Source organism: Homo sapiens, chromosome 5, assembly GCF_000001405.40.
Source record: "Homo sapiens chromosome 5, GRCh38.p14 Primary Assembly".
Classification (NCBI taxonomy): domain Eukaryota; kingdom Metazoa; phylum Chordata; class Mammalia; order Primates; family Hominidae; genus Homo; species Homo sapiens.
In genome coordinates, this window is record NC_000005.10 from 108,828,446 (window position 1) to 108,840,511 (window position 12,066).

The 12,066-nt window shown below is 34.9% G+C and overlaps 1 protein-coding gene across 22 annotated transcripts in view; it reads left to right on the forward strand.

The window, feature by feature from the left end:
- The window catches only part of FER (FER tyrosine kinase), a 448,945-nt gene that overhangs the window by 80,549 nt on the left and 356,330 nt on the right, over positions 1-12,066 (forward strand). For 21 of the 22 annotated variants that reach the window (NR_146155.2, XR_007058589.1, XR_007058591.1 and 18 more), the window contains 2 exons: positions 4,325-4,498; positions 7,263-7,362. The exons of the other annotated variant lie outside the window; for it this stretch is intronic. Coding sequence is in view for 17 of the 21 variants with exons in the window: in NM_005246.4 (NP_005237.2) it covers positions 4,325-4,498; positions 7,263-7,362 (274 nt within the window). In the remaining 4 variants the exon portion in view is untranslated. The remainder of the gene's footprint in view (positions 1-4,324; positions 4,499-7,262; positions 7,363-12,066) is intronic. 22 annotated transcript variants of the gene reach the window in all.

Sequence of the window (12,066 nt, forward strand, 5' to 3'; positions counted from 1 at the left end):
TTTTTGTTGGTATCCTGTGGAATTTTTGTCTAGTCTAGTAAAATTAAATTATTATCACTTTAATGTTTTGTAGCTCTTTTTTCAATAATGATGATATTTATATTCCGTTTTGCAAATTTTAACAGTGTTTTTTCCTGATTGTATTATTGTTATTTGCCTATGATTAAACTTTTCTAAAATTAAAATTCAGGTATTTTTACTTTTTAATATTTTTTAACCTGTCTATAACTTTCAGCATCAGTGACTTCCTACTGGTAAAATTCAATTGTAAGGAATACTATTAGCAATCAGGTTTCTGTATAATGAAGCAATTTTAAGGTCTTCAAGTGGCCGACAATATTTTGTTTATTAAGTTACAAAGAATTAGCTTGCAGCTGGGTGCAGTAGCTTACGCCTGTAATCTTAGCACTTTGGGAGACCGGCAGGATGATTGATTGAGGCCAGGAGTTTGAGACCAGCCTGTGCAACATGGTGAGACCCTGTCTCTATTTTTTTAAAAAAAGAAAAAGAATTATCTTCCACAAATTATCCTAATAACAATTTATCTATGTCCTAATCATTGCTATGCTGTAACCAAAGAGCTATATCTGCAACGTGCTATATTCCAGTTTTACTGTAAATATAGAAATGTAGCTTTACTTTTGTTTGTTTCTTTGTTAAGCACCTATTAACATTTTACTCTCCTCTCTTTTAACAAATATCCCACCCACCCAGCTAATTCAAGGAATTATATCATCCAAAGATCTTTTTGTTTGTGACTTTCAACCATTCCTTTTAGGTCAGTGTTTCATTTGCATTACATGCTGCTCTGCTATTTCTGTTATTTTTTCAGTTGAAGATAGACCTGTTTACTTTTTCTTCACTATCACATTATAATATTACCTAATTCTGTGTTAAAAAAAATATTTATGGCTGTGCATGGTGGCTCACACCTGTAATCCCAGCACTTTGGGAGGCTGAGGTGGGAAGATCACTCAAACTCAGGAGTTTAAGACCACCCTGAACAACATAGTGAGACCTTGTCTCTACTAAAAATCAAAATAATTAGCTGGACATAGTGGTGCATGCCTGTAGTCACAGCTCCTTGGAAAGCCGAAGTGGGAGAATCACTTGAGCCTGGGAGGTTGAGTCTGCAGTGAGCCATGATCGTGCCATTGCACTCCAGCCTGGGTGACAGGGTGAGACCCTGTCTCAAAAAAAACTTTTTTAAGTCACTTTTATGGCATGTATTTAATTCATGGTTTTATTCTACATTCCTCCTTCCTTTTTTTCTTTCTTTTTTCCTACTTCTTCCCTCTTTCCCTCCCTCTTGTCTCAAACATCACAATAAATACTCAAAATATTAAACATGGTACCGCCTTCATGGAGCTTCCATTTCAATTGAGGAGACATTATAAAAAACCAAACCACCAATTATACATATAGATAAATAATTGTTTTAAATGCTGAGAAAGAGTAAGACAGAATAGCAAGGATTAGACCTATAGGATATTTAGCTGATTACTAAAGGAAGGTATGGAGCTTGCCAGGTGAAGGTGAGGAAGAGCTTCCAGGTAGAGGTAGAAACTTTCAGGAAGAGATTGGAGCTTGCTATGTTCAGCAAAGTGAAGAAAGAACAATATTTCTAGCATTTATTTAGCTTGGTAGAGAACAGCAATACATGAAGTTGGAAGGATAGATTAGCAGATAGATAATGGGAGACATTATAAGTCTTAGAAGGAGTTTGGGCTGGGTGTGGTGGCTCATGCCTGCAATCCCAGAACTTTGGGAGGCCAAAGTGGGTGGATCACTTGAGGCCAGGAATTCCAGACCAGCCTGGGCAAAATGACAAAACCCCGCCTCTACTAAAAATACAAAAATTAGCTGGGCGTAGTGGTTCACACATGTAGTCTCAGCTACTTGGGAGGCTGAGGCACAAGAATCACTTGGACCCAGGAGGTGGAGGTTGTAGTGAGTGGAGATTGCGTGACTGCACTCCAGCCTAGGTGATGGAGCAAGACTCCATCTCAACACAAAAGAAAGGAGTTTGGATTTTTCTTTAAATGAAAAGGAAAGCCAATGTAGTGTTTTAAGGGAGACAGTTATATTAATTTTTAAATTATTATTGTATTATTATTATTATTGCTACTTTAAAGAGAATGGATTGGAAAGGAGCATGAGAGTGTACCATTTGGGAGGTGTTGTAATAGTCTAAGCCAGAGGTAATCATAACCTTCAAAGGAGTGGCACTGGAGATGGAGAGAAGAAGATGGATTTGTGATTGACTTTGGAGACAGAATCTGAAAGACTTGCTGATGCATTGTTCATGGAGAAGGGTGTCCTCAGATTCAAAGGAGCTGGGACTTCTGCAGAAACACAGAGAATGTTTATTAGCAGCGTTGGGGTGTTGGGAGTGAGATAGAGCCAGGCTTTTGTTAAAACTAGAAGATGAATGGAAAGTTCTGATAAGAGGTATGAAGAGTTTTCTAATTATAGAGCGAGAGTTCTTGACAATACAGGATTCTATAGATAGTGGCTTGGGTTGGATTAGGAGATACTGAGGACAATATGGGGTTGACAGAGTGGCAATATATGCTTTGAGACCTTGGACTTCCTGTAGTGACTACACTGAACAGGGCTTTTAGGCAGGTTGGGATGTACCATTCTGGGAGAGGAGGGCAATCTGACCCAATTGTGTGGTTTTTTGGCTTGCAAGAAATCTTCTCGCCTAGGCTGCAAGGACTGCTACATAGAATTACAAAAAGTTATTGCTACAAAGCACTTAAAGAATATTTATTTTTTGAAGATACAGCAAGAAGACTGTCTCCTCTCACTTTTTATTTTTTTGTAGCATTAACATTCTACACATGCCATAGAATATTTCTCCAACACTGCATAGTTTGAAGTGAAAATACTAGATGAAAAAGGCAAAGCTACATATATTATAGCCATTTAGTTTATGTTTTTAATCCATGTTTATATAGTTTTATACTGTTTGCATCTTTGTTACATTTTAGATTTTAAAGTAAGGACTACATTAGTTTTAAATTGCTTTGTGGTGTTAAGAGCAAATTAGTGATTATATTTTCATATTTAAAAGTAAATATGATGGGTTTATAGGCCGCACATATGTTCCATGTTCATCATATCATTTCACAACTAAAAATAGTCCCCTCCCTAAAAAACTGTTCTCAAAGGTTATTATTTTTTAAAAAACATACAATGCAGTGTATCAAAAACAAGATTGGCAAGTCAGATCCTGGCAACTTTGTATTATGACTAAGAATTTGCTTTCTTTAGGCTATAATTTTGCTTTAGATGCTTATGAAATTTTGATTTTTGATTACATTGGAATATTAACAGAAGGAAAATAATTCTGTTCATTCACAGATCAAAAATAATAGAGTAGAAAATTATTCTTGTCAGTATCTGAAACCAAACTTTGCTCATTTAAAAAATATCTTTTGGATCCACTGTGTCATAGGTCTTCAATATTGTTTCTGAATAGAATATTGAATACTATAGCGAAGAGGATTCCTCTGTTCCTTTTTTTTTTAAAAGTATGTGTATGTCAGGAAGTCTAACTAATAAATGATTTGTTCTTCTAGCAGTTTCCATATGCCCACTGATCCCAAACCTACAATTATGTGCCTCTTGCTATTGAGGCAGTGTGTTGTGCCCTTTGGTGTATTGTGCTGGAAGAACTATTGAGATGTAAAGGTATTTGTTAGGAAAAGAATAGAGCTATAGATAGAAATCCATACAATACCAGTATTCTCACAGGCAACAAAAGAACAGGTACCAAAGATTGAAAAGGAAATTTTAGAAAGGGAGGAAAACAAGCCAGGAATTTTGGAAATAGGAAGCTAAGCGAGCCTCCACAAAAGACAGTTTCAGAGTGAAGTTGAGTCAGCAGGATCAGATGCCACAGAGAGATGCAGGTTAAGATGTGGATGGGACAATGTCTGTTGCATTTGACCATTAGGAACTGAAGACCATAGTGGGACATTAGAATCATGTGGCAGAGCAGTATTTCAGTGTGCTGGAAAACAAATGAGAAGTGAACAAATGAAGACTGCAAGTGTGGACTCTTAAAGAGTCCCGTAATCTTTTTCTTAGTTTTCTGTGTTGTCTGTGATTATAGAATTTTGAAGCATGTGTAGTTGAAGTTGAAGACGTTAAATATGAACCATTCATAGATCTTTGAACAGTTGCCAGAAACCTATTTTTTATATTAATGTAATAATTTACATAAAACTAAATATTTAAAGTTTTGAACTCTTAAAGCACAGCTAAATGGAAACCTTTAATGCAAATGTTTGTTTCTTTTTTTTTTTTTTTTAAGTCTTGGCTACTTATGATTCAGCAGACAGAACAACTTAGTAGGATAATGAAGACACATGCAGAGGACTTGAACTCTGGACCTTTACACAGGCTCACCATGATGATTAAGGACAAGCAGCAGGTGAAGAAAAGTTACATAGGTGTTCATCAGCAGATAGAGGCAGAGATGATCAAGGTTCGTTTTTCCATATTGAAGTTCTTTCTTGAAATTGTTTTCCAAATTCACAGAAATATTTTACCTTATTTGGCTTTAAAAATTGTTTATTCATCATTTCCCAACAAGAAATAGGTTTATGGTCTCTAATAAGTAATATCTTATTGAACATAAAACATTGATTATAGGATATACTGTGACTGTATATACTCCTATGAAAGAAAAAAGAGGCTCCCAATTAAACTATGACACAAAGCTTTCTTATCACTTAGGATTTTTAGTTTTTATTTACTGAAATAGTTCTTTGAGACTTTTAAAAATAAATTTGTCTTATCTAATACTTTGCATAAATAAAAAAGAAAATACAGGCAGAATTACTTTTGGTATTCTTAAATTTACGTATCCCTCATTTTCCCTACATTCGGAGTCTGTCTCTTCTGAATGACTTTTTTCAAATTATTTTTATTATAGAAATTTGTAAATGTATAAAACAAGAGAGGATAGTAAAATCAACTTCCACCTACCCATCACCTGAATAGTCACCGTTTTTTCTATACTCCTACCCACTTTTTTTTTTTTTACATTGGATCATTTTAAAGGTATCATTTTATCCATAAATATTTTAGAATGTATAGCTAAAATAAGTGATCTTGTTAGAAATGTAACTACAGGCCAGATGCGGTACCTCACACCTGTAATCCCAGCACTTTGGGAGGCCGAGGAAGGCGGATCACGAGGTCAGGAGATCAAGACCATCCTGGCTAACAGGGTGAAACCCCGTCTCTACTAAAAATACAAAAAATTAGCTGGGCGTACTGGCGGGCGCCTGTAGTCCCAGCTACTCAGGAGGCTGAGGCAGGAGAATGGCGTGAACCTGGAAGGTGGAGGTTGCAGTGAGCGGAGATCGCACCACTGCACTCCAGCCTGGGCATCAGAGCAAGACTCCGTCTCAAAAAAAAAAAAAAAATGTAACTACAATACCGTTAATTTGCCTAAAAATAATAATTCCTTCATGTTATCGAATACTTTTTGTTGAAATGCTTGTTGTTTAAATGTTTTTTTATAGTTGGTTGGTTTCAATCAGGATCCAAATACCATCTATACCTTGCATTTGAATGATACTTTTAAAAAATATGTAGGTTCTCTTTCCTGCACAGTGTTTAATAAAATGCCATTTATTTATGGAAGAAACTAGGTAATTTGCTCTATATAATTGAATTTTCTTCATATTGGGTTTTTCTGTTAGCATCTTATGATGTGATTTCACATATTCCTTCATCTTTAATTTTTTCTGTAAATTGGAATTTAAATCTAGAGACTTGATAAGATTCTGGCTGCATATTTTGGGCAAGAGTACATCATAGGTGGTGGTATACACTTCTTGCAGTTTTATATCAGGAGGTATATAATGTTGATTTATCTTTTTATTATGTGAAACTTGACTAATTGGTTCCAGTGTTGTCAACCTGATCAATCTATTAAAAAAGTTTTCTGGCTGGGTGCGGTGGCTCATGCCTGTAATCCCAGCACTTTGGGAGGCCAAGATGGGCAGATCGCCTGAGGTCAGGAGTTCAAGACCAGCCTGGGCAACACGGTGAAACCCCGTCTCTACTAAAAATACAAAAATTAGCCAGGTGCGGTGGTGCACGTCTGTAACCCCAGCCACTTGGGAGGCTGAGGCATGAGAATTGCTTGAACACTGGAGGCAGAGGCTGCAGTAAGCCTAGATCATGCCACTGCCCTAACAGCCTGGGCAACAGAGGGAGATTCTGTCTCAAAAAAAAAAAAAAAAAAAAGTTTGGTATCAGACTTTTACCAAATAGTTTTACAAAGTTAACCAGTGAGTTTTTTCTTGAATGGAGAATGATTTGAACTCATTTATATTTATATTTTTTGTTTATTCACACAGTGTCATCGTCTGTGTCATCAAGAACATTGGTGATACAGAATTTCTTTAAAAGGGGTTTGAGATTATCTTCCAAGTTGCTGATAACCACTTTTGCAAGGTTTTGATGCTTTCTCTTTCTTAATCTTCTCAAATGGCAAATTTGAAGATCTGTAGACAATATCTGGGACACATATTTTTTCCTTAAATTGCATTCAAATGACTTTTTGACTACAGTCAAGGACTTGCATTTGTTTCATTGTTCCACAGAAATAATATTTTAATGGTTTGTTTAATTACAGAAAATATTTCTGCACATACTAAGTTAATTTTTTTAAATTTTAGATAATGGCAGTGTTATTTCTTCGTTTGCGCCACCCCCCCCCCCCCACTTTTTTTTTGAGTCAAGTTTCAGCCAGGCTGGAGTGCAGTGGTGTGATCTTGGCTCATTGCAACCTCTGCCTCCCAGGTTCAAGCGATTCTTGTGCCTCATCCTCCCGAGTAGCTGGGATTATAGGCATGCGCCACCATAGCCTGGCTCCTTTTTTGGTATTTTTGGTAGAGACAGGGTTTTGCTGTGTTGGCCAGGCTGGTCATGAATTACTGACCCCAAGTGATCTGCTTGTTTTAGCCTCCCAAAGTGCTGGTTACAGGCGTGAGCCACCGTGCCTGGCCTGATTTGCTATTCTCTTAAAAAAGTTTATTTGTTTTCACATGCTATTGAATTTAGTACTGATTTTTAAAACATACTTGTAGTTTATTTTCTATAGTTGTATATTAAAGGACAACTCTGACCTGTAAGTAGTGAAATACACATCAGTTAATACTTTGGAATTTAAGTTCTTGAGCAATTTAAATTTAAACAATTTAATACATTTATGCATTTTGTTTCTTTGACAGGTTACCAAAACAGAATTGGAGAAGTTAAAATGCAGCTATAGACAATTAATAAAAGAAATGAATTCTGCCAAAGAGAAATATAAAGAAGCTTTAGCTAAAGGTAAGGCAAAATTTTAAAAATTGTTTACTTAGGTGATTTTTATTCTTACTGTTTGAAAGTTATCTTTGTAAGTAGTGGAATGATTCCATTTAGAGCATTTCACATATAAAAAACTCAAAATAAACCCACATTGGCTAATTGTCAAACAGTGTAGTAAGTCTTACTAATTTTCCATTGCTTTAAATGACTCAAAGTATTTTCGAATAGTTCATACTAAATGGAATTATGTAGCATGTGTAATAGAATTGAAGGGATGTTTAAAATTTTCTCTCTTGCATCATATTTACTTATTTAATTACAGAGTGCTTAAGTAAGAAAAATAGGAGTATATTTATTTAGAAACTTTTAAAATCTTCTTTTTTACCTGTATTATTTAAGTCATTAAAACCACATCATTTTATAGCATTATGTTCTCTTTATAGCTTAATTTTATGTGTCTATATTGCCCTAAAATTTTCATAAGAAGTCTTAAAAATAAATGGAAAGAGAAGCATATTATTTATGTTTCAAACAGAGATTTATGGTTATAATTTCTTATTAAGTACTTAGGTGATCTTGTATCTAAATTTTGAAATGTTAGATTTCAGTAAAGACTAAGCATAGTTTATGAACAGAAACTTCTTTGGCTGTTGCTATAATTGGGCAATATTTTCCTTATGTTTAAATGTGCCTAAACCACTCATATTTATACATTTTTTCTTTATGAAAGTTGGAGGATTTTTCTTTTTGTTTTGTTAATTTTCTTTCTAGCTAAATAAAGCGTTTATTAGAATCTCTATTTTATTTTGGTTCTTAAATTCATCTTTCTCTACATTTTCTCTTTATCTTTCATTTGTTAAACATTCTCGTTATTTTGTCATAGTAAATGAAGTAAACAGCTCCTCCATTTGGCTGTATCTTGCACAATGAAAATATTGTTGTTATTCCCAGTACACTAGAAGTGATACTGATTTAAATGCAGTTCTTTCTCTTCTCCTTCCTTTCTCTCTCCTTTTCCCCTCTTCTTTATCTTCTTCCTTCCTCTCCCTTGGACTCCCTGTTTGTCCCCCTTCTCTCTCTTCCTCCTCCACTTCTTACCCCAACATTTACTTTGTGTCTCCTTCTCTCCCCGCTTCCCCCAATTTACTAGGGAAGTTGTATGCATATTCACAGTTTCCTTACTTATTTGTCATGTAACTCAGCCAAGACTTTGAGATTATGGTCTCTATTAATGTAGATATATCTTTTGAAATGCTTTTATCTTTAAATTATCTAAATTATTTTAGTGAAGCAAAGAAAGAAATGACAGTGGAAAGAGCACAGGCTTTGGAGTCAGAGAGTCCTGGATTTAAGTTCCAACATTGTGTGATTATTTCATAGATTTTCAAACTTCCTATACCTAATTATTATTCCTTTGTTATTTTAGGAGTGCTTTAGATAACCAAGAAATATTTACTGGGCACTTGCTATGTTTAAGTTACTGAGATTCAAAACAATATTTGCCAGGCATTCAAGGAGCTTACAGTCTGGTTCACTAACTTGAGAACTCCAAGTCTCACTCTCTTGCAAAATTTAGCTTTTTCACAAGGTATCCCTTGCTAAATCATCAAGAATAGTTTAAAAATAACTTTATACATTAAACATTACTTCTTAATCTGTCAAAATAGTTAATTTTATAAAGTTCATTGCTTCATGCCTGGCTAGCATTCTCAAGTTAATTAAATTACATTGCAAATATCCATATCTAACTTCACCCACAGCAACCATATTGTAATCCAGCTATGTTGTGTATTTCGCACTAGGTTTGTATATGTTGGAGAATTATTAGTTAGAAAAAGAAATACATAAGTACTTTCAAGTCTTTGATATCTGTTTTTAGTGATACAGTTTATTTTTTTAAAAGCAAAATCTAATTCTGATGTCAAAGTTTTAATTGTTGTACCTAATGCTTATATTAGAAAAGATTATGGAAAATCATTATTCTTTACTCTTGATTCAGATGAAACACCATTTAGTATTGTATTAATAGTTGGAAGGCAACGAGAGAATCTGAAGATCATACTTGTAATAAATTGTAAGAAGTGAATTATTTGAATCTTTTTTTAAAAATTATACAAGCTTAGTTGTCTTTCTAAAGGTATTCATGATAGTATTTTTCTGTTTTCAAGAATTTGATTTCTCACATTAAATCCTACAGAATATATAGTTACTTTTAAAATAAGTACTTTTATATATCCACTTCACACATGAGAGATAGGTAAACTTTTCTTTTATAATCAAAACTGTGTTTATACTCATATTTAAATGAAAAAGTATAAAATTTTATTTTTGAAAAATTTATGTTTCAAACTGCTTCTGTTTTTATGGAAATAGGAGTTTTGTGGAGTTATTTACTCTTTACAAGGATGATGAGCTGTAATGGCAAATTTTTCCAACATATATAGGCTTTATGTCAGAACCTTAGTTCACCTACATGGGCCAGATTAGGACACTTTTGGAATGGGCCCTAGAGACTGCGGGGTGCTTACAATAGCTACTCAGATATTTGTCTGGCATCCAGAGTCATTACTTTAGACATTGGAAGGTCTTAGAAAAGTTATTTACAATCCCAATCTAACATAGAGCATCCAATTAGAGAAGACAGGCCTTGGGGAAACAAGGCCTGGAAATAATTCCTATAGTAAGATAAATTCTATATTTGATCAAGAAATGGGTTTGGACTCAAGGGTTCAGTTCCTATAACTGGGAGTTCAGCAGTAGTAGTAGTAGTAAACCAGCAGGAAGGCTGAGTTAATGCTGAAACTACAAACCCCTGACCCCTGCTGTATAAATTAAACTGATATTTTAAATTTTGAATGTTAAAATTTATATACAAAGGAACACTCGTTTATGTTTAGTATAATGTAAAATGTAACATTCATTTACAATATGAATTTAGCATCATTTTAATTTTCTAAAAATTAAATGCACCTTAAAATAATACACCTTAAACATTCTAAAATAATACACCTTAAACATTCTAAAAATAATACACCTTAAACATTAAATGTGCATTGCTGTGTGGTATGTTGAGGGAGCACATGTATATTGCATTTTATCTTAAATTGACTTGGACTAATTTGAACATTAGTTGATTGATTATTACTTATAATGGATGCTGAGGACAACCAAAATAATTTTAACCTATTGAGCTGAAGTTAATAACTTGGAGGTGTTTCTTTTTTTTTCCTTCATTGCCTTAACAAACATTTAGATACAAATACCCTTTGATACAAAGAAGTACAAAAGGTAGTAAAGGATTCCCCCACTGTTACCATCACTACTAAACACATACATATCCACAGCTGTTCATGGCCCATGTCAGTGCCTCTTATAGACGGGAAATCACCTTTACTAGATTTAATAAAAATGCAAATGCCTCTAAATGTTCCTTCAGAATAAGTAAGAAGAGCTGACCAAGAAGAAAGAACAATGGGTGAAGGATTGTGGCTCCCACAAATCAGGTGAAGGTAATAGTTTGGGGCTAGCCAAAAATGAAAGGAATCCTAGGTGATTGTCAAATCAAAAGTTAAAAGGAACCAAGTTAGTCCAGGTAGGAAGAGAAGATTTTGGGGAGTTAGGCTAGTCAAGTGCCTGTAGGCTGCTTAAGGAAGTCTGCTCTGAGTGAGGAGAAGGGAATGGAAAGTATCTGTAAATATCCAATGGGTTTTTAAAAAGAATAAGTAGAGCAGGAAGCAGAAAGTAGCCACAGAGAAATTCTTCCTACCCCAACCCCATGCCATTTTCTTTTTTTTTTTTTTTTTTTTTTTGAGACGGAGCCTCGCTCTGCCTCCCAGGCTGGAGTGCAGTGGCGCTGTCTCGGCTCACTGCAAGCTCCGCCTCCCAGATTCACGCCATTCTCCTGCCTCAGCCTCTGGAGTAGCTGGGACTACAGGCGCCCGCCATCACGCCTGGCTAATTTTTTGTATTTTTAGTAGAGATGGGGTTTCACTGTGTTAGCCAGGATGGTCGCGATCTCCTGACTTCGTGATCCGCCTGCCTTCGCCTCCCAAACTGCTGGGATTACAGGCGTGAGCCACCGCGTCCGGCCATCCCATGCCATTTTCTAAAAGTAGTTAATCAGATTCTTTATCGGGACTGACTTTAATTTACACAGGTTGAAAAAAATATCTACTCGTCCAGCCCCAACAAGCAGCCTCTCATTTTATTTTTTCCAACCTTTAAAAAAAAATTAAAACAAACGTAGAAATTAGAAGGATGGGACAGTGAATATGCATACTGGATTCAACAAGTATTAACCTTCTGCCACATTGGCAGAATCATTTGAATGTATGTTTCAGGCGTCATATACTCTTGATCGGTAAATGCTTTAGCTTGCATCTGCTGAGAATAAAGACATTCTTCTAAAAAGCCACAATGCAATTATCATTTCTAATAAAATTAACAATAAATAATTCTCTATTATCATCTAATATCCGGTCCATATTCTGGTCTCCCCAGAATGTCTCTTATACAGGTTGGTGTAAAAGTAATAGCTATTTTCACCATTGAAAATAATGTCAAAAACCACAATTACTTTTGCACCAATCTAATAGTTTTTATTTTTTTCTGTCCATCATTTCCTTCGTTGTTGTTGCTTTGAACCAGGATCTGATCAAAGTAAACATACCACATTTGATTGTTGTGTCTGTAGACTCTTAGTCTTTTCATCTAGAACAGTCCTCC